Source organism: Homo sapiens, chromosome 11, assembly GCF_000001405.40.
Source record: "Homo sapiens chromosome 11, GRCh38.p14 Primary Assembly".
Classification (NCBI taxonomy): domain Eukaryota; kingdom Metazoa; phylum Chordata; class Mammalia; order Primates; family Hominidae; genus Homo; species Homo sapiens.
Window position 1 is genome coordinate 4,062,040 of NC_000011.10, and position 23,069 is coordinate 4,085,108.

The 23,069-nt window shown below is 42.5% G+C and overlaps 1 protein-coding gene across 22 annotated transcripts in view, besides 1 other annotated feature; it reads left to right on the forward strand.

Annotated features, from left to right (window-relative positions):
• STIM1 (stromal interaction molecule 1) overlaps positions 1-23,069 on the forward strand; it is a 238,607-nt gene that overhangs the window by 207,436 nt on the left and 8,102 nt on the right. For 14 of the 22 annotated variants that reach the window (NM_001382578.1, NM_001382575.1, NM_001382580.1 and 11 more), the window contains 5 exons: positions 7,987-8,164; positions 12,463-12,640; positions 20,145-20,312; positions 20,843-20,943; positions 21,224-21,459. In NM_001382578.1, the coding sequence (NP_001369507.1) occupies positions 7,987-8,164; positions 12,463-12,640; positions 20,145-20,312; positions 20,843-20,943; positions 21,224-21,459 (861 nt within the window). Of the gene's footprint in view, positions 1-7,986; positions 8,165-12,462; positions 12,641-13,215; positions 14,060-20,144; positions 20,313-20,842; positions 20,944-21,202; positions 21,617-22,633; positions 22,727-23,069 lie in introns of those variants that run through there. The other 8 variants (NM_001382574.1, NM_001382572.1, NM_001382567.1 and 5 more) reach the window with 7 other exon arrangements.
• Positions 10,680-10,974: an enhancer, noted in NCBI's record as "tiled region #1570; HepG2 Activating DNase unmatched - State 12:CtcfO". NCBI's record gives its function as "activates a minimal TATA promoter and a strong SV40 promoter by Sharpr-MPRA in HepG2 cells {active_cell/tissue: HepG2}" and the evidence as "EXISTENCE:reporter gene assay evidence [ECO:0000049][PMID:27701403]".

A 23,069-nucleotide genomic window follows, 5' to 3' on the forward strand; every position in this document is an offset into this window, starting at 1 on the left:
AATATTTTGGAACTAGATAGAGGTAGTGGTTGCATAACATCATGAATGTGCTATATGCCACTGAATTGCTTACTTTAAAATGGTTACTTTTATATTATGTGAATTTTACCTCAAATTATTTTTTAAAAAGCATATACAACAAAAGAAAGAATAGATAAATTGGACTTCACCAAAATAAAAAAGTTTTATACTTCAAAGAATGTACCAAGAAAGTGAAAAGACAACCCACAAAGTGGAGAAAGTATTGGCAAACATTTTTCTGACAAGGCTCTACTATCCAGAATACATAAAAAATTCTTGCTAGGTACGGTGGCTCATGCCAGTAATCCCAGCACTTTGGGAGGCTGAGGTGGGCAGATCACCTGAGGACAGGAGTTTGAGAACAGCCTGGCCAACATGGCAAAACCCTGTCTCTACTAAAAAAATACAAAAATTAGCCGGGTGTGGTGGCACATGACTGTAATCCTAGCTACTCAGGAGGTTGAGGCATAAGAATTGCTGAAACCTGGGAGGCAGAGGTTGCAGTGAGCCAAGATCGTGCCACTGCACTCCAGCCTGGGTGACAGGGTGAGACCCTCTCTCAAAACAAACAAACAAACAAAAAATGGACAAAGGATTTGAACATATTATTTGTATAGTCCACAGTTCAATGGCCAATATACACCTGAAACAATGCTCAACATCATTATCAGGGCAATGCAAATCAAAACTACAATGAGGTAACACTTTTTACCCACTAGGATATAATAAAAAAGACAGTAACAAGTGTTGGTGAGGATGTGTTGAAATTAGAATAATAGCCAAAAAGTGGAAACAACTCAAGTGTCTGTCAGTTGATGAATGGAAAAAAAATGGTATATACATACAATAGAATATTAATCAGTCACTAAAAGGAATGAAGTACTGATATATGCTACAATGCGGATGAACCTTGAAAACATGCCAAGTAAAAGAAGCCAGTCACAACAGGCCACATATTATATAATTTTGTGAGTTCACTTATATAAAATGCCCAGAACACACAAATCCATAGAGACAGAAAATAGATTAGTGGTTTCTGGGGCTGGGGGTGGGGGCAGTGGGAAATAGGAAGTGACTGCTAATAGATATGGCATTTCTTTTTGGGGTAATGATAATATTCTAACATTAATTTTGCCAGTGGTTGCACAACCTTGTGAATATAGTACAATCATTGAATTGCCCATTTTAAGAGAGAGACTTAGAATTTTAGGGTCTGTGAATTATATCTTAATAATAAATATATACATGCATACCTTGTTTTATTGTGCTTTGCCTTACTGCACTTGGCAGATAATTGCATTTTTTACAAGTTGAAGGTTTGTGGCAATCCTGTGTTGATCAAGCTGTTGGTACCATATTTCCAAAAGCATGTGCTCACTTTTGAGTCTCTGTGTCGGAATTTTTAAGCAATAAGTTATTTTTAAATTAAGGCACGCACACTGTATTTTTAGACATAATGCTATTATACACTTAATAGACTACAGTATAGTGTAAACATAACTTTTATCACTGGGAAACTAAAAAATTTTTGTGACTCACTTTATTGCTATATTAGCTTTATTGCAGTGGCCTCAAACTGAACTTGCAGTGTATCCGAGGTATGCCTGAACAGCTTTTTTTGTAGCTCCTGGATTTTTATTCAGACAACTTGTTTGAAGTTTGGGGAAGAACCCTGTATTGGCAGGTGACCTTGGTCCCTTTTCAAAATTGCCACTCACTGTGTGACCTTGGGTAGTCACTTTTCTCAGGTGTGTTTTATGATTTGTATCAGGAGATTCCTCCCTACAGTTCCTTTCAGCTGTGACATTTTATGATTTTTGGGAGGAACTTCTTCCTCAATAAGGGTTCTGTGTAAAAGACAGGAGGTCTGTTCCTTCCTGGTGTCTGCATCCTGTATTTTTAGGACTTCTGTGCTTGGTCCTTGCCTTATTAAGTGAGCTTTGGCAATTCAGTTCTGCCTAGATTTGGGTTTCCTTATCTGTAAAATGGGTTTGTTCATTAAAGGTTCTTACTGGTTCTCTCATTCAAGGATTCTGATAGAGCTGGGTATACTCTTGGAAGCTAAGGTTTTAGAAATCAGCAGCTGTCCTGATGGCAAATATTGTTTTTATATTTTTCTACTGATGCTTGTCAAAGGAAATATTTGAAAATCGCCGGCTGGAATCTGAGGAAAATACTAAGGAGCTCTTTGCCAGGAGACTTCTGAAAGGGGTAGGGACATGCCTGCTGGGTGTTTACAAAAAGTCCCTTGATCTGTGCCCCTCTAGACTTTATTTCCCCTCTGAGCATGGACTAAAAATCCCTATTTCAGTTCTATTCTTTAATACCCATTTAGGAGGCCTGTACTGGCTCTGACCTGTATTCTGAACTTAGGATGAGTTCTTAAGGCTGAGTGAGCAGACACTTAGACCTCATCATCAGTCATTTAGCACACAAACACCCCAGAGAACCTAGACTTGTTACAGCTGTGAGCTATGGCCACCTTACTGAGCTATAATAAAAATTCTGTTATTGGTCTGAGGCTTGACATATCTTCAATTAAAGGTTTGTCATGCAGTAGCCAAGAGGGTCTGCTGAGGGAACAGGTGCCATCTGTCCACAGCAGCCTCAGAACTTGGGAAGAGGGAAGAGGGAAGAGGGATCAGACTGGCTCAGCAGAGGGCCACCTCAAGGTCCATTTTCTGACAGTAGATGGCATGCTTAATCCTCCCCATGTGACCACAGAGTAGCACACTGCCCTTTAGGATCTTTTTCACTCTACAGAGTTGGCTCTGGGTTTACAGGCCCATCTAGGGCTCGCCAAACAGTACCAGTTTGCAGATGTTAGGTGTGTTTGGAGATGTTAGGAGATGTTATCCATCTTCTACTTCCATTAGAGGAAACAAGATATAATAAAGAGTTCCAGCTTTGAAATCAAGCTGACCAGCTCTATCACTCAGTAGCTTTGTGACCTTGGACACATTTCTAAGGTTCTCTGTGCCCCAATTTGCTCTAAATAAATGGTAGCTACTATTTTTAATTTTTAATGTGTGCCTACAGTGTGCTTAGTCCTGGGCTAGGGGCTAGCATGCCCTTTGTGCTTTCAGCAGGAATATTGAGAAAAGTGCAGGGAGGCCTACAGAATAATTGTTGCGGGTCAGGGGCAGTTGGAGATAGGAAAAGAAAAGACTATGCCTCATCTTCCTTCTTCATTGGCTCAGAAAATAGGGGAAAGTCCCCAGTGAGCAGGAGTGGTTGCTTTTCTGGCAAAGCTCACTCTGATCTCTGTACCTGCATCCTTACCCTCTCTCTCTTTTCTGTTATGGTCCAATTTGCCCTTCAAGCTTTCTCCAGGATGTTTTTCCATCCTTTTACAGGCATGCTCAACTCTTTCCTCTTATTCTCCTGTAGGAACCCACAGCCCTTTGTACTTTTTTTTTTTTTTTGATAACAATATGTCTCTCTGCCTTTTATCCTTTAAACTGGGAACTCCTTGATGAAAGAATTTTGTTCATCTGTCATCAGCACCCAGCTTAAGATCTAGCCAGAATTAAGTGCTGGGAGATGTGTGCTAGAAGTTATATGGAAGGAGGCTGGGCCTCTCCAGACTACAGAAGTGAGGGGATTTGGGAGAAGAATCTGGCCCAGCTTGGTTTTGGGGAGAAATGCTATCTATGGAGTACCTGAATAGCTGAGGCATTTAAAGCATTTGTTGGGCTATAACTAGAAGGGAGGGGGGCCCATGAGTAGCTCTTACACGTTAAACAGACATCCCAGCACAGAAGGCTGTGTAAATGACAAAAGAAATTCCTACTACATATTTTGGCAGTGAGGGATGAATATCTATATCTGCCAGGGTATTGTGTGAAGTGGACAGGGTGGAGAGAATAGATTGGGAGAAGGGATTCCAGAAGGTGATAATGATTGGATGCTCACTTTCTCAGTGCTAACTTGTACCCTGAAAATTCTTATTATTACCCCTGACTTTGTTAACATCTCAGTATCTCATTTTTTTACAACCACTTCCCTTGTCTCAGGCCTGATGGTGTTAATAGTTGACCTCATTTTGCTAAAATCTAATTGCAGCACACAGACTGGGAATTCTGCCATCCTCTGGTTCCCCCAGTCCCAGCCAGCTTCCCTGGGTTAGCTCTGTTCACCTAGCCAGCCACATCTGTTCTCCTGAAACCTCCATGGTTACTCTGCCCTGGCTATGGTTACTGAGTGCAAGGTAGATTCTGAGAGCTGAGTTTGTGTAGGGGTTGTGCGATGCAGCTGGCCATGCTCTTTTTGTCTCCAGGAGCTGGCATTTGCCCTCTATATGCACTTTGTATTGTAGCTCCCTTTCCACCTAAAACCTCCCTGCATTCTCCCCTTTTCTCCCTTTTCTGCCTTTGCTAAATACCTGTTCTGGTCAGACCCTGTGCTAAGAGTATGGGGCTACAGAGATATAAATAAACCTTGTGCCCTGGCCCTGAGGAACTCACAGACTACCAGATGGTGACTGACATGGAAGTTGAAAAATAGGCTGGGCGCAGTGACTCTCTCCTGTAATTCCACTTTGGGAGGCTGAGGTAGGAGGATCTCTTGAGGCTAGGAACTCAAGACTAGCCTGGGCAACATAGCAAGACCTCCATCTCTAAAAAAGAAAAAAAAAGTTGAAAAACACACAAGACAGTCCCTGAGAAATAAAGAGATAACCTATGTTTACCTGTCCAAAGAATGGGTTGATCGTAGCTCACAGGAGATGGAATGGAAGGCTTTGTGGGCAATGGTAGGGAGAAGACAGTAGGAATTGAAGAATGGGAATGGGATTATAATGGGAAGAAGCAGATTATTAGTAAGGCATAGATTAGACTCTTGATTTGCCTATTCTCTCCTCTTTTTCTACACAATGATTCATAGACTCACTTAGTGGTGTGGGGTACAGCCTAGGGCTCTGCGGGAGGGACCCGACAATTCTTACATCTACTGCTTCAGCTACTTCTTCTTTCTCAAACTCCACATCTATATTCTTAATTATCTCCTGGCATGTCCATCTGAGTATCTCCAAGACACCTCAAAGTGCTGTCATTTACACCTACACGTTCGATCTCGTTAGTAACCACACATTCTATCTCTGTAGTAACTCTAATGCATTTTACAGCTGAGGAAGCTGAGGTCTAGATAGGGGAAGTGAATTATATAACAAATTGGGGCAGAGGCAAACATAGAACCAGGCTTCCCAACACATAGTGTGGGATGCCTCCCTTGGTAGCACAAGAATTTCTCTACACGGACCCTTGTGTTTAATCTTAAGGCCTGGTTATTTGGCCTTGGGGTATTCACTGCCCTGATGGCAATGCCACTATCAGCTTCCAGGATATTGTGTGGGGGAAAACTCAGGCCTTGGAACTCTTAGAGTCAAGAGTTCCAAGAGTCTAGCTTGAGCTAGATCAGGGCCATATTAGACATCTCCATTGTAAGAGATGTTTGCCTGTAACAAAACAGAAACAATATTTGCTGCGTGAATATGAAAGCTGTAGTGAGAAAGTGTGGTGTAGCAGAAAGACAATGTAGTTGGGCAAATCTGGATTTAAACCCAGCTCTAGCAAGTTAGTGTCCCTTACAGAGCCTCAGTTTCTTGGTCTACAGAATGGGAATACCAATAACCTATCTTATGTAGTAGTTGTGAGGATAAGAGACGATGAATATAAATGCCTGATATGTTTTATATTTTCTCTATTTCCCTTCCTTTCTTATACGGATTAAGGGAAGGGAGATATTATCATACTTGAAGCTTATCAGTAAAGAATCAATCCTTCCAAGATTTATTGAGTGACTTCTGTATGCTGGTTGATGTTATGCTGTGCACTGGCATATATAGGCAAGTGATGATCACTAGGAACCTTAAAGAGTAAATCAACCGTGTTAGAATCATCTTCTTTTATCAAGCTTGGTAGCTCATGGATGTGGCAGGTAGTATTTCCGGACTTTATCTATACATTTGACAAGGCAGAGGGTTGGATAGGATGGATATTTGTATATTTAAGTGGAGTCAAAACTAGTTGAAGGAATCCAGTGGTACTGATAGGTGGAACAGTATTACCTTAGAGGGAGGGAGTGACTGTTAGATCTTATCCTTGGCCTTGGTTATTCAGTATTCTTATTCATGACTTGGATGAGAATATGAAGCTGGGCAAAATAATAGATCTGGTTCCAAATTGAACTGGATAAGGTAGAATAAGAAACCAAATGAAATAACTAGGCTCAATCTGCATACCCACCTTAAGTATTTGAGGTACTGGAAGTGCTCGTTGCATGGAGTCTTGTTTGAATAAGGATACCTTTGACTTTTGGTAAGAATATAAAGGGGATATTGAAGTTGAGAAACCCTAGGAAACCAAGATTAAAAGTCATTAACAAACAGGGGAGACAAAGAATACCCCAGGCTCTGGTAGTGGCTCTGGAGGAGGCAGGTGTGTTCCAGGAAGTAAGGCAACTCACTGTGCTGCAGAAATAGCTCCCCTTGGAACCTGAAAGACAGGAGAGTGATGGCTTACGTATGGCTAGACTTGTAGCCTGCCTGGAGGCTAGGGGATGGCCGCTAGAGGACCCTCAATTTTCTTTCAGAGAGCCTGGAATAAACATATGAAGGACATGGCCACCACCCTGACCTAGTGACCCCCCTCCCTTGGGTGGAAATAGGATGTGTTAATCTGTCTTTGATCCCATCTCATCCCCATGTTCTGCTGCTCAGCCTTTCTGTGAGGAGCTATGATGGTAACTCTTCTTGTCAAACTATAGGCATCAGTATCATATGGTTTCTTTTTCTGGTGTCTTGACCTTCCCTTAACTTGGTGGCTCTACCTGGGTCCTTTTGGATTTCCACCAGCCCCATGTCCTTACTATGTCCAAGGATCATGCCAGTCCTACCTCCTTCTCTGCTGTTTAAGGGCAACTTGCTGTGCACAGAGGGTCATTAGCCCTGGCATAACTCCCTTTTTTCCCTCTTTCTCTGACTCCCACATCCAGGGCTCCTCTGAGCCCACAGCAAAACCTAGACAGAGGATGCAGGAGTAGCTGTCTCCTTCTTATAGTGCCCCTTTCAAGTCTTTTGTGCTGTGGCACAGAGCCCAGATCTGGTATACCAGGAACAATGTTAGTTCCAGAAATGCCTCTCTCCTGATTGGCTAAGTTTTTAGGATGTGGCTTTTGCTTTTTATCTTGTGGTGTCATTTCTTGTTTAACATTTAAATTTTGCTCTGGACAATGGGCATTCTTTGAACCCCAGCTGGTGGCTGGGGCCCTCGTGGTTCACTGAATTGCTACCAGGTGTTCTCTGAAAATAGCTCTGCCCCTCAATTTCTGGTAGGTATAATGTCTCATCCATATGAATGTATTCATGCTATCCTGTTCTAGAGTCTCTGGATTTCACAGTAGCCTAGAAATGTTCTCCATAGATTGAGACTTCTGGACCTTTCCCTGATCTGTGCCAAGAATGGCCTGGTAGTCCAGGATACCTAGTTCCTACAGTGACTTCAGTCCTACAGCCAGAACTGAGGCTTCTGGTGACATTGCTTTATATCCTTTATACCAGTCATCTCCATTTACCTACTGTGGAACTTTAGAATTGCTTACCCTGTATGACAGAAGCCACTACATCTTGGCATATGGGCTCATCCAGCCCAGAGATGGCTGGGGCATATTGAGAAGGCACTAGTTCTCTCCTCTTCACTGCATCTTAAGAAAGTGTGATTTAATAAGCATCCTGTATTGCTGTAAGGCCTCTCATTTCAAAACAAAGCCTTGGCTAGCAGAGAGATAGACATAGAGCTTACTGTAATAGTGTATGGCAAGTGTGTATCTAAGAAGAGAAACTAATTCCTTCTCAGTGGGAGAGTGTGTCTGTTATGGAAGGCTTCATAGAGGAGGGATGCAGTGGAGTCTGCAAGGCTAAGTGTGCAGTGGGCACCCTAACTCATCATGCCCTCCCCTCTCTGGCAGTGACTCGCCATAATCACCTCAAGGACTTCATGCTGGTGGTGTCTATCGTTATTGGTGTGGGCGGCTGCTGGTTTGCCTATATCCAGAACCGTTACTCCAAGGAGCACATGAAGAAGATGATGAAGGACTTGGAGGGGTTACACCGAGCTGAGCAGAGTCTGCATGACCTTCAGGAAAGGTAAGGCCTGCCCCTTCAGGAAAGGTGAGGCCCTGCCAGTTCTTGGGAACCTCCTATTTCCACCTGGGTGTGAGCCACTTGGCCCCTGAGACCTTGTCAGCATGGCAGCCCAGGCTGCATCATCCTTCCAAAACTGCATTGCAAGTTTAGGTTGCTGATATTCCAATTGCTATTGGGCAGTTATTCCTCCTGGGGAGAAACTTGTTTCTATCTTTTTTGCCTCTTAGCTTCAGAGGGAGAAATGTGTAGCTGCCAGAGGTCTTGAGCTTCCCATTGCTTGTTATGGGGTCATTCTTCCTTCTGCCTGTCTCTGGACTGCTTCTCCTAGCATATAAATAGATGTAATGAACTGTTCTTTACTGTTCCCCAAAGAAACCTCAAAACCTTCCTTCTTACTGTCCTTAGTTCTTTCTTATAAGGAGTCTAAATCTCATAAACACTAACTTGCTATATAACTTTGGATAAATTTCTTTCCCTCCCAGGATTTATTTCCTCATTGGTAATATGAAGGGATTGACCTTGGAGAATGCTAAACTCTCCTAGGAGAACACTTCCAACTCAGATGGTCTGGGATTCTGTTAAAATAAAATGTGACTTCAAAACTATGGCAGAAGATTTAACTGTGAAAAGAGAGTGCCCGTCAGTCAGTCAGTCAGTCCTGACGTCTAGGAACCAGTTCTGTGATGGCAGTTATGAGAAATTCACTGGTCCTGAGAAAAAAAACTTACACACCCACAAGAAGCAGCAGTGAGAGCACACTTAATGCAGACTTAGTTCCAGACTCAGCTTATAGGATAAGAATGCTAATGTCTAGAAAGACAAAGAGGTGGATGAGTGGATGTGGGACTCTGAGGAGGTAGCCTTTAAAGATGGGTAGCGAGGTCCTAGGTGTTAAGGTTGAGTGTATAGGGTGGGGTCAGATCCCTGGAACCTTAAGATGCATGTGGGGAAGTTAGTAGGATGCAGAAGGCAATAGAGAGTCAAATCAGGTTTTTTTGGTTGTTTTGTTTTCGAGAAGAGGAGAGGTCTATTCAAGACTGTCTTTTAGAAAATGATTCTGGAAGCCTAGGGACTCTAGTTGGGAAGTCTTTGCAGGAATTCATGTAAAAGGAAATGAAGTCTTGTCTTTTCATTTATTTCTATTTATTATTATTATTATTATTTTGACTCTGGGTCTTGCTCTGTTGCCCAGGCTGAAGTTCAATAGCATGAACATGGCTCACTGCAGCCTCCACCCCCTGGGCTCAAGAGATCCTCCTGCTTCAGCCTCCTGTGTAGCTGGGTGCATGCCACCATGCCTGGCTAATTTTTTTATTTTTTGTAGAGACAGGGGTCTTGCTGTGTTGCCCAGGCTTTTCCTGAACTCCTGGACTCAAGAGGTCTACCTCAGCCTCCCAAAGTGCTGGGATTACAGGCCTGAGCCACTGTGCCCAGCCATTGTGTTATTTTTAAATGGTAAACACTATTTAATTTGGAGGGGTAGGGACAAGACTTCTTGTGAGCCAGGTATTGTTAAATACTTAAATGCATTATTACTTTTAATCACTATGGCCCTTTGAAGTAGGTACTATTAGAGTTGGGGAAATGAAGGCTCAGAGAGGGTAAGTGCTTTGTTCAGGGTCATATATCAGTAAGTAGTGAACTAGGAATTTTGACACTCCAGGGTGCTGCCTCTACTGAGGTAGCAGACTTATTGGATTTATTTCCATGGGCTGGGCTTCTAGGGAGCAAGAGGGGTCTGATCTCTAAGCTGATTCCTGGCTACTTTGCTGGGCCCCTTGTTCTTGGGCCCTTTGCCAGTTAGGAGCTAACTGCTGCTGTCTGAGCAGTCCCCATACCTCATTTGTTTGAAAAACATGTACTGTTTCCATTCCAAAGGCAAAAGAATCTAGGCAGGAGACATTCCAAGTTTGGGGATAAAACTAAGCTCCCAGCACTCCCTGCTCCCTAAAGCTTCCAGAGCTAAATGACCACTGTGGCACTTAGAAAGAGACAAAGACACCCCTCCCCTTTTCCCCCTAGAGATAGGCTTGCACACATGCACACATATATCCTCCTCTGAGTGTCCAGAGCCCACATGCCACCTGGTTCCTCCTTGTATTAACAGACCTGCAATGCCAGCTTTCACAGAGCTTTATTACAGAGTTCCTGATAATTTATGTGAATAAATATAATTCTACATATACAGTCCAGTTAGGATTTCATTGAGTTTCAAGATAATTATTTGAGGCAGGCAGGAATTTTGATTCCCAAAACAGGCAAAACTTGCTCATAGTCACACAACTGCTTAGAGCCAGGACTAATTGCAATGCTAATTGTTGTTGCCTTGGAGTGGGGCAGTGCTTAATTGTATACTTATTTGCTCATTTCTACACCCAACAATGATTATTGTTCTCCATCTCTAACAGACCTTATTGGAACTATGAAAGGGTGTCAGTCTTGATTCTACTTTAAAGGAGCTCGCTATTATTATAAAGGACAGACATATCATAGTATTGGCTTTTCTCAAGAGGCTGCTTTCATAAAAGGACAGTATTTCAGTGAAGAAGTGAATCCTTAATGGTGTAACTTTATATAGTTGGGTCATGGAAGAGTACAGTAAAGGAGGATATTCAGCAAGGGAAGGAGATGGCAGGAAATGGCGCCTCTGATTTGTCTTTGCCTATGCATATATCGCCATCTGGTGTTCATTTTCAGGGGGTTCAACTCCCTTTCTCTTCAGGGACAAATTAGGCAGATCACAATTTGCGGGAAGCTTGCAGCCTAACATTTCCTCTTCTTACCTCCTTGCTTGTTCCATGATGTCTTTTGAAGTCTCCGCCACTGATAGCTCTGGACTTAGAGGTTTTTTTTTTTTTTTTTTTTTTACAGATTGAGTTCTGTTTGTTTCATCTACTTAATTATCTCAGTGGTCAGTGTTCTCTAGGGGTCCTTCTTGTTCTGTAGTCTATCCTTTCTTTTCTATACCTCAAGTCTAAGCTATATATCTTATCTCTTCTTCACCATCCTTTCTCCTTCCTAATCTGGTCCCCTGGTAACCTGGTGGTTTTTACTTAGAAAGGAAGACCAGACAGTAAAGTCCGTTTTCTCTTCCAAAGGGATTAGCAAACTCTCAGTCTTTGTTCTGGGTGTAGCCCAAGTCTCTCTTTCTTTCCCTGACTCCTTTCAGGCAGAGCTGATGACTCCATCTTTTGGGAAGACCCAAGACCTTATATATCTATATCTATCTCTTTCTATTATAGAATTTGTCACACTGAATACAGTTATCTGTCTACTTGTCTTTGTTGGAGTAAATCATGAGCTCCTCAGTGGCAGGGAGAGCTTTCTGATTTATCGCCACGTATTTAGGGCTTAGCACAGGGCTTGGCACTTAGTAGGCACTTGAAAGAACTCGGTGAATGAATAGATGAATGAATGAGTGTATTAACATAGATAGCCGTGTGGAGGAAAGAAGTGAAGAAGCGGGAAGGCTTGTTTAGCTGGATGGAAGGTTTTGTCGGTGAACTGAGGGAATGTGTGTGACGGTGCAAGGGTAGACTTACATTATAACTCATGCCCTTGAGATCTTATCCACTAAGGAAGATACTTAGGAAAGGAACTCAGGGCCTGGGGGCAGCAGGGGACTCTCCTGAGTCCTTTGGCATAAATTTAATTTGTTTTGTGCTTCTGGGAACAGAAGCTCAGGAGTCCAAGAGGACTCCTAGCTCAATAGTTCCTCCTCATCTTCCCTAATCCACCCCTCTGCTACCACCCCAGTCATTTCTCAGCCATTAGGTTTTCCCTGGATCTTTTTGTCAAGCTTGCAGGGTATTCTACATTCATTGAACTTTCTAGATACCACTACATAAGAGGAATAATTGTGGCATTTGAAGTCACACAGATTGGAATTCTAGCCTCAGTTCTTCCTACAAGTTGCAAGACTCTGTATCTGCCTGTCCCAGGCTGATAATGATACCAATATATCATTATCTGCTGGGAGGACAAATGGGAAATACCTTGTAAACTGGTACTTGTTATGATTTTAGTATGAGATAGTTTCGAGGAGGGATTCAGATGCCTGAGAGCCTGGCTTCATAGCCTTGATTACTGGCAGCAAAATGATGGTCAGTGTGTGAATTAGGTAATGACTGTGGTTTCTATGGGCCTTGAGCTAGCTCAGAGCCAGACACACAGCAGAGCAGGGAGAATATATGCTGAGAGTTGGAGCTGTCATTTTCCTCTTTGATGCCATGACTCATGGCATGTTGGCTGGCACCCCCTTGCCTGGCCTCCTCCAGCTCCCTGCATTGCCCCCCCAGGCTGCACAAGGCCCAGGAGGAGCACCGCACAGTGGAGGTGGAGAAGGTCCATCTGGAAAAGAAGCTGCGCGATGAGATCAACCTTGCTAAGCAGGAAGCCCAGCGGCTGAAGGAGCTGCGGGAGGGTACTGAGAATGAGCGGAGCCGCCAAAAATATGCTGAGGAGGAGTTGGAGCAGGTAGGAGAGTCCACAAATTCCTGGACACCTTGACGGGTGGGTAAAGGGCAGGGGCCCAGGGTCTGGCTAGAAAGTTACATGTGTGAGGAATTTGAAATATGATCCAAAGACTATGTTCTAGAGTCACTGGACTCTTACCAACAATAAGAGTTCAAGTTGTAAAAAATAGTCACTATGGGCCAGGCACAGTGGTTCATGCCTGTAATTCTAGCACTTTGGGAGGCCAAGGCAGGTGGATCACCTGAGGTTAGGAGATCAAGATCAGCCTGGCCAACATGGTGAAAGCCCATCTCTATTAAAAATACAAAAAAATTAGCCGGGTGTGGCGGCGGGCACCTGTAATCCCAGCTACTTGGGAGGCTGAGGCAGGAGAATTGCCTGAACCCCGGAGGTGGAGGTTGCAGTGAGTGGAGATTGTGCCATTGCACTCCAGCCTGGGTGACAAGAGTGAATCTCTGTCTCAAAAAAAACAAAAAAAGAAAGAAAGAAAAAAAGAAAATTATAAAAATAGTCACTATGATTTTCAAAGAACAGTGGATAATAGGTGATAACAGTTATTTTGTTCCTTTTTTGAGGTATTTACATAAAGTGTACAAGTCATAAGTATACAGCTGGCAAGCTTTTGCATATGCATGTACCTGTGTTACTACCACCCAGATCAAGATACAGAACCTTCTCAGCACCCCAGGAAACTCACTTTTGCTACCCCAATTAATATTTCATCCAAAAGTTAACTACTGTCACAACTTGTAAACCAGATTAGTTTTGTCTAATTTTGAACTTCATATAAATGGCATTATACAGTATATACTCTTTTGTGTTTTGTTTCTTTCACTCAACATTATGTCTATGAGAGTCATCAAAGTTGCATGTAGTGATAGTTGGTTTATTTCCATTGCTGAGTAATAATCTATTGTATGAGTATACTTTAATTTATCCACTCTTCTGTTGATAAACATTTGGGTTGTCTGCAGTTTTGTTGACTTTTATGAATAATATTGCTATGAACCTTCTTGCATATGTCTCTTGGTGGGCATAAGCCCTCATTTCTGTTGGACATATAATATTCATGTATTTAGCTTTATTAGAAACTGTCAAACAATTTTCCAAAATGATTGTACCAATCTATACTGCCACAACAATGTAAGAGAATTCTAGTTGATCCATGACCTCAGTATTTTTAGGCATTTTAATTTTAAACATTCTGGTAAATATATAGTAGTATCTTGTGATTTTAATTTTCATTTCCCTAATATTATTAAACACCTTTTTATAAATTTATTGGCCATTTGATTTGGGAATCTCTTCTCATTTTAAAAATTGGATTGTCTGTCTTTTTCTTATTGATTTGTAAGCATTATTTATATATTTTGGATATTAGTCTTTTGTCAATATAAATACACATATATATAGAAAATATTTTCTCTCAGTCTTGACTTTTTTTTGCTTTATTGTCTTTTGATAAACAGAAGCCCTTGATTTTAATGAAGTGTAATTTAATCAGTTTTTTAAAATGATTGATGCAGTCAGGCGCCGTGGCTCATGACTGTAATCGCAGCAGTTTGGGTGGCTGAGGTGGGCAGATTACTTGAGGTCAGAAGTTCGAGACCAGCCTGGTCAACATGGCAAAAGCCCGTCTGTACTAAAAATACAAAAATTAACTGGGTGTGGTGGCACATATCTGTAGTCCCAGCTCCTTGGGAGGCTGAGGCAGGAGGATTGCTTGAGCTTGGGAGGTGGAGGTTGCAGTGAGCCAAGATAGTGCCACTGCACTCCAGCCTGGGTGACAGAGTGAGACTCCATCTCAAAAAAAAAAAAAAAAAAAAAAAAAAAAAAAATTGATGCTTTTTGCTTTTTGTTTCTTGTTCAAGAAATCCTTCCCTATCCCCAAGATATTTCCCTAAATTTTCTTCTGAACCTTTATTGTTTGTCTTTTCACATTTAGGGATATTATTTCAAATTAACTTTTGTATGTGATATGAGGTAGGCTGTCAAGGATCTTTGTTTTTTTTCCCCCAAGTAAGGTGATCATTCAGGAATCTCTTTTTTTTTTTTTTATTTTTCAGGTCAAAAAGTTTTCTAATTTTTATTGTGGTTCCTTTTTTGGGACATGGTTATCTAGTATATTGCTTGATTTTCAAACATGTGAGGACTTTTTAAGTTATTTTTCTTTTGCTGATTTCTAGTTTAATTTCACTAAGATCAGAGAACATATGCTGTGTGGGTGTAGTCCTTTGAAACTTGTTGAGACTTGGTTTGTATAAAAAAACAACTAAGCAATTCAGTTAAAAGGCAAAGATTGTCAGATTGGATTAATGCCAAAACTCAATTATATGCTGTTCGTAAGAGACACATTTTAAATATAAGAACACAAAAAAAGGTTAAAGGAAAAGGATATGAGAAAAGATATATGTTACAAAATAAAGCAGCAAAATTAAGCAGGAGTAGCTATATATTGATATAATATTTATATTAATATAAAATAGGATTTAGGTCATGAAGTATTGACCTAAAGCAGTTGCTAAGTGAAATAAAGCAAGGGTAGCTATATATTAATATAAATGTAATATTTACATTAATATAAAGTAAACTTTAGGTCAAGAAGTATTACTGGACTCCAAAAATAGATATTTCATAATTATAAGTGGATGAATTCAATTTAATATATAACAGCCCTTAATTTGGATACATCTAATGATGTAGTCTAAAATATGTAAAGCAAATATTGACTGAACTAAAATGATACTAGACAAATTTTATAATCAAAGTTAGAGATTTTAATATGCTTCTCTCAATAAGCCACCAACAGCATCCATAAGGATATAAAAAATTTAAAAACATGGTTAATAAATTTGAATTCCTTGACACATATAGAACACTTTGCCTAACTCTAGAATATACATTCTTTTTAGCACTTATATATCTCTTAAAATATACTTCTGCTCCATTCTCTCCTCTCCTTCTGAGAATCTAATATTTATGTTAGATCTTTTAACTGTATTCCACATGTCTCTTATGCTCAGTTCTGTTCTTTTTTCTCTCTGTGCTTTGGTTTGGTTATTTTCTATTGATCTATCTTTTAAGTTCTTTAATTCTGCATTCTACTGTAAGCATTCTGGTGTTTAACCCATCCAGTGGGTTCCTACTCTCAGACAATGTATTTTTCAATTCTAGAATATCCACTTTACTCTTTTATAGGTTCTAGTTCCCTGTCCAGAATTTCTATCTTTTATCTATTGTATCCATCTTTTCCTGTATTTCTCTTAACATAGCAATCATAATTATTTTGAAGTCCTTGTCTTATAATTCTTACATCTGGATCATTTATGGGACTGCTTATTTTTCCTCTTGATTATTAGTCATATTTTTTGCCATTTATGTCTAATAATTTATTTTTATTACATGCTGGACAGTGTGTATAAAAAAACAATAGAGGCTCCAGATGATTTTCTCTTCCATCAGGTAGTTTTCCCCCTTTCTTTTGTGAAGTATATTAAGGAACTGATCACCTCAAGCCAATCAGAGATCAAGCTGCATTTGAACTAGGTTGTAGTTTTAGTAAAACTTGGTGTAGCTTTCATTTGTCCCAGTTTCTCAGGTATGTCCCTCCCTGACTTTTAAATGGAAAGCTGTTAAATTTCTTTCTCTTCAGCCCTGAAAGACTGTGAGAGATGCAGTTCTGCCACTTCGTAGGCTGTTTTCTTTGTGCCCCAGTGGAGATCTTCTACATGGGTCCAGCCCAATTTTCGGCTGTCACCTAAAATCATCAATGTCTCCCAGGAAGAAAATGACTGGCAATTGACAAATCATCTTAGAAAGGCTTTTTTTCTCTCTGACTTTTGGTTTATCTAGTCTAGTGGTTTTCACACTTTTTGTTCTTAGGACTCTACTTTTTTTTTTTTTTTAAGATGGAGTCTCGCTCTTGTCGCCCAGGCTGGAGTGCAATGGCACAATCTCGGCTCACTGCAACCTCCGCCTCCCAGGTTCAAGCAATTCTCCTCCTGCCTCAGCCTCCCGAAAAGCTGGGATTACAGGTGCCTGCCACCACACCTGGCTAATTTTTGTATTTTTAGTAGAGAAGGGGTTTCACCATGTTGGTCAGGCTGGTCTCGAACTCCTGACCTCAGGTGAGCCACCCACCTCAGCCTCCCAAAGTGCTGGGATTACAGGCGTGAGCCACCACACTTAGCGAGGACCCTTTACTCTTAAAAACTATTTAGGACCTCAAAGAACATTTTGATAGGGGGTAATACTGTTGATATTTAACCTATTAGAAATTAAAACTGAGAACATTAAAAAATATTTATTAATTCATTTAAAATAACTATATAGCCAGGTGCAGTGGCTCACGCCTGTAATCCCAGCACTTTGGGAGGCCAAAGCGGGCGGATCATGAAGTCAGGAGATCGAGATCATCCTGGCTAACACGGTGACACCCTGTCTCTACTAAAAATACAAAAAATTAGCCGGGCGTGGTGGCGGGTGTCTGTAATCCCAGCTACTTGGGAGGCTGAGGCAGGAGAATGGCCTGAACCTGGGAGGCGGAGCTTGCAGTGAGCTGAGAGATCGCGCCACTGCACTCCAGCCTGGGTGACAGAGCAAGACTCCGGCTGGGCACGGTGGCTCATGTCTGTAAGTAATCCCAGCACTTTGGGAGGCCGAGGTGTGCAGATCACCTGAGGTCAGGAGTTCGAGACCAGGCTGGCCAACGTAGTGAAACCCCGTCTCTACTAAAAATACAAGAATTAGCCAGGTGTGGTGGCAGGCACCTGTAATCACAGCTATTCGGGAGGCTCAGGCAGGAGAATCGCTTGAACCTGGGAGGCAGAAGTTGCAGTGAGCCGAGATCACATCACTGCACTCCAGCCTGGGTGACAGAGCAAGACTCCATCTCAAAAAAAAAATAAAATAAAAATAACTATATCAAACCCCTTAGATGTTAACACAACATATTTTCTAAATTTTTCAAAATAAAAACAATTTTGAAAACACAATTTTCATAAAATGCATACAGCTTTCTCCAGATGTTGTGTTGGATCAGAATTGTTTTTCTCCCATGACCTACCATATCCTACTGGGAAGTGGAAGTCAGGTGATAACACTTTATTTAAAACATATAGATAAGTGTTTATTAACTTTGGCTGCATATTAGAATGACTTGGAGAGCCTATTTTAATGCCCAGGCAAACCCCCCCAGATAAATGAAATCACTGTCTCTAGGTTGGGACCCAGGTATCTGTGTTTTTTTAAGTTCCTGGCCAGGCATGGTAGCTCACGCCTATAATCCTTACACTTTGGGAGGCAAAGGGCAGGCAGATCGCTTGAGCCCAGGAGTTTGAAACCAGCCTGGGCAACATGGCAAAACCCTGTCTCTACCAAGAAATAAATAAATAAATAAATAAATAAATACAAAAATTAGCTGGGCATGGTGGTGCACACCTGTGGTCCCAAAGCTACTCGGGAGGCTGAGGAGGGAGGATCACTTGAGCCCGGGAGGCAGAGGTTGCAGTGAGCTGAGACTGCACCACTGCACTCCAGCCTGGGCGACACAATGAGACCCTGTCTCAAAATAAAACAAAGTAAAAAAGTTCCCCATGTGTTTACAGTATGTGACAAGGTTGAGAACCACAGCCATAAAATAAAAGGACAAGAACTCTGACTTGCCCATCTCTTGTCTTCCCATCAGACATTTATTACTGTGCATGGCATGATATGTCTCTTTCTGTCTGTCTGTCTTCCATCTTCCCTATTCCTTATTTTGTAGTTATTTCTCTCTTTAACCAAACAGTTTTTTTTTTTTTTTTTGAGACAGTGTCTCACTCTATTGCCCAGGCTGGAGTGTGGTAGCACGATCTTGGCTCACTGCAGTCTTGACCTCCTGGACTCAAGCGATCCTCCCACCTCAGCCTCCTGAGTAGCTGGGACCACAGGTGCACACCATCCCACCAGGCTAGTTTTACAATTTTTTGTAAGATGAGGTCTCGCTGTGTTGCTCAGGCTGCTCTCGAACTCCTGGGCTCAAGTGATCCTCCTGCTTTGGCCTTCCAAACTACTGGGATTACAGGCGTGAGCCACTGTGCCTAGCTCCCAACAGTTTTTGAGCCTTGTAGGCCTGCCCCTTTGTATGCCTCCCTGACTATCATGCTTCTATTTGCTCTCTTTTTTTCTCTTCTTCATCCATTCTTCCCTTCTTAGCTTATCCCATTCCTTAAACTGCTTTTAATATAGAACTTGATCATAAATTTTCAGACTTGGTATATTAGTCTCTAAGGTATCTAGTCTTCATTTAGAGCTATAAAACCAGGAATGGGCTATTTTTAGGTTTTTTTTTTCAGGGAACAGAAACCAAGTGAAGATTGGCACTCTCATTGCCTCTTAAAGGAATAAAGGTGTTCTGTCCCTAGCTGAGGCCCTCCTGGCCTATCTTAGCTGTGGAGAGGACCTCAGGCTTGCTATGGGATGTTTACCTCATTGGCTGAAGCTGGGGATAATAAGACTGCTTTCAATGCATCTTCTCTGGGATTCTGTTCAGGTAGGAGAATTGGAGATCACTTATGCTGGTAGCTTGGATGAGACAGCAAGAAACTCAGTGTACATAATGTCTGTATGTACTTTCAAGTCTTTTACACTTTAGTGCTTTGTGACTGCCTCATTGTGTGCTCCCTGCAGAGAAGTCGGTTATTTCTACTTATACATTGGTCCTCTCATGTCTTGGCTTCTGTTGGCAATGCCTGTGTTAGGTGTGGGCATGCTCATTATCTTCCCACCTTTTACAGAGTTCTTTTCAAAGCCCACTTGCTCTACTCCCTGAGAGAATCATAGACGCAGTCTCTGGGCTAGAGAAGACTTTGGAGAGCATTCAGGACAATGCCCTTCTGAAGTACCAATCATTTTTCAGTTCTCTCTGACATGAGCTCTTCACATAACTCCCATGACAGGGAACTCATTCTCTCCTGAGATCACCCCTTCACTGATAGTTTGGATTTGCATGGGAGAAAGTCCTTCCTCACACTGAATTAAGAGCCGGTTTAGGAAGCACAGGGTCACACAACCAGTTAAGCGACAGACCAGGGACCAGAACTAGATTTTCAGATTCCTGACCAGTGCTTTTTCTGTCACACTGTGATGTCTTGAAGTCTAAGCACAGACCCTGACTCTTGGTAAGATGATTCACTAGCTGACCTGTTCCTGAAGAGATCAGGGAAGACTGCTGGAACTTGCTGCATGACCAGGAAAGTAAGCTGATGTGATAGAAAAGAATGCCTTTGTCTGGGAACAGAAACATCTCAATTTGGGTTCTGGTTGACACTGTTGACCTTGAGTAGGTTAATTTTCTTCGCTGAGCTTGCTTTCTTCTATATAAAATACGGAAAATAATCCTTACCTTTTCTCCTTCCTGGGAGAGTTGTAAAGCAGATAAGAAGTCTGAGTTCTGAAGCATCATACAGAGATGTTGGAGAGTCTTAGTAGCAGTAAATGAACTCACATCCTTTTGGCTGCCTAGGTTCGGGAGGCCTTGAGGAAAGCAGAGAAGGAGCTAGAATCTCACAGCTCATGGTATGCTCCAGAGGCCCTTCAGAAGTGGCTGCAGCTGACACATGAGGTGGAGGTGCAATATTACAACATCAAGAAGCAAAATGCTGAGAAGCAGCTGCTGGTGGCCAAGGAGGGGGTGAGAACAGCCCTTCTATTGTCCTCTTTTCTCCTTTTTGCCCTTCTCCTTTTTACCTGCATATCTTCCTCTTCTCTCCCTCTCCCTGTTCCTCCCATTGGGTGAAGAGATATCCTGGTGGTGGGTTCTGTTTCTTTCCTAATGTTCAGCTCCTGACAGTGTCCTCAGGCTTCTGGAGGAGGGAATGAGGGTGTAGGGGCATTCCTGCCTGTCTTCTGGGAAAGATGAAACAAGTGGAGGCAGGCAGAGGGAAAGCTCTGCCAGCCCCAGGCTGCCATGGGGACAGAGGTCCTCCTGGGGCAAAAGGGCTATCAAGGACCCCTTTGCTTCTCCCCTCGCTTTCTCTATTTTGTCCCCCTCCTTTTTCTTCTACCTTGCCTGCCTTTCTCTTTTTCCTCTTTCTCTTCCCTTTCCTTGTACAGCCTCAGTTGTGCTAGGAGGAGTGGGCCCCAGCCATAGGGGAAGGCCTTTCTCATTTATTCCATTCTCGAATCCCTGCTCTTTTTGAGCTGGGGGCCTCATCTTTGCAGGCTGAGAAGATAAAAAAGAAGAGAAACACACTCTTTGGCACCTTCCACGTGGCCCACAGCTCTTCCCTGGATGATGTAGATCATAAAATTCTAACAGCTAAGTAAGTAACACCAGTTATCTACTCTGGCAATGTCCATATCATCCTCAGAATTTGAGGGCATACAGGGCCTCCAACACCAATTCCATTTCCTCATTGGTGGAGGGACAGCTCTGGTCTCCTGCCTCAGCCTTTATTTATCTCCTGCCTTGCTCTTAAGTTTGAGTTTATTGTGTGTTTTATTCACACATATTCTCAAAACTTGTTCCTCTGAGAAGAGGCTTCATTCCTATTGGGGCTCACACCAAGTCCATGCCTGCAGTTCTCTTTCCTCTGTCTTCAGGCAAGCACTGAGCGAGGTGACAGCAGCATTGCGGGAGCGCCTGCACCGCTGGCAACAGATCGAGATCCTCTGTGGCTTCCAGATTGTCAACAACCCTGGCATCCACTCACTGGTGGCTGCCCTCAACATAGACCCCAGCTGGATGGGCAGTACACGCCCCAACCCTGCTCACTTCATCATGACTGACGACGTGGATGACATGGATGAGGAGATTGTGTCTCCCTTGTCCATGCAGTGTAGGTGACCTCTTTGCGGGGATGAAGGAAGGAGCCTTTGATGTACAGGTTGAGAAGTCTGTGGCCTCTGTTGTGCTTAAACAGCAGATGGGGCAGATACCCAGGAAGATAGTTCAACTCATGACCTTGGTCAATAAAGCACAATTTACTCAGGTTATTTCTTTATAGTTGTCCTTTTGGTGTTCTTTCCTTGTTGTATGCTCTGTGTGCCCCTTTGGGTCTATTGTGCTAAGTGTGTCTCCCTTCATTCTTTTTCACTTTATTGTCCCTAACTACCACTCTATCTACCTTTATAAAAAATATGTCCTTTAGTGAATTTCAATGTAAAAATGGCATTTATTCTATTTATTGAACTTATTTATTTTGATTTTTGTTCCTTATTCTTATTGCTAAAGTAGATGAATGGAATGATGTTTCTTTTTGTGTTTTTGTGAGAGGCCCTATAAAGAAATAGTCCCTTAAAGTGATATAGTCCTAAATCCTCTAAGCTGGAAAGGCATTCTTGCCCAGGAGGGATCTCCTGCACAAGCATGTCTGGCTTTCCACCTGGACTCTTGGATCCTACCCGCTCTTCCTCTGTCCTGGATCTTCCCTCTCCCTTTTCTCCCCTGCAAGTGATGAGAGTTGAGTAGAGCAGAGCCAAAAGGAACAACACTGGAATTCTTCAGTGAATGAAGGGAGTTTTCCCTTACTGGCCCACAATTGAATTTTTCTTTGGATCAGATGCTATTTTAAGTAAGTAGAATAGCCCTTATGGTAAAGCTATTGTCCTAGGCCCATATTCTGCCAGTTCAGCGGGAGGGCAGAAGGCCGGGGCTGGGTTAGGGGCTTACTTTCAGATTCTTTAATCAGGCTGGATTCCCACTCGAGACAGAATTTATTTGTAATTTTATCAATAATACTTTGCCCCTGGCCAAGCCTCTTTGTTCTTCTAATCTGATAACTCGTTAGGCCTTTAATCAAAGGCTTAACAAGGACAGGATCACTGACAGGCAGAGCTTGATCCTGACTTGCTGATCTGAAGGCTTCTGTGTTCTCCAGGCTGGGAGGGACCTTAATTAGCTCTGAGCTACCCAATCCCTGCCCCCAGCCCTTCCTTTATTACATTGATGGCAGGCCGAAGCCCTCCATAAATCAGATTCTCTTCTCCTTTTGGCCTGGCTGTTGACCCTAGATGCTGCCTGGCTGATGGGGCGTAGGTTCAGTGACCGCTCTCTCTGCTCTACATCCGCCGGCTCGGATGATCAGTCCCTCTGGAAATACCCCGGTTTGAGGAGCCCCTTTGGGGCATTTTGTTTTTCTGACTTTCGGGACTAAATCAACACTCTTACCCCATGGGTCCCTTCTCCTGCCTGCTTCACGCCCCTGCCTGCTCCCTCTATCCCCTCAGCACTGTCCCTACTAACTACAGGGAGGGGTTCGGGGGTGAGAAGAATCAGCTTGCTTGGCAAGAGCTGGACAGAGAACACCCATGGTAATGGAAGGCTTAGGCTTCTCCCTTTAGCGCAGCTGTGCAGGTAACCTGGTAGCCCTTCTTCCATCTGGGCTGGGAGGGAAAGAGGGAAGGACAAATGACCCCTTTCTTTTCTCTTTTTCATGTTTCTCCCTTT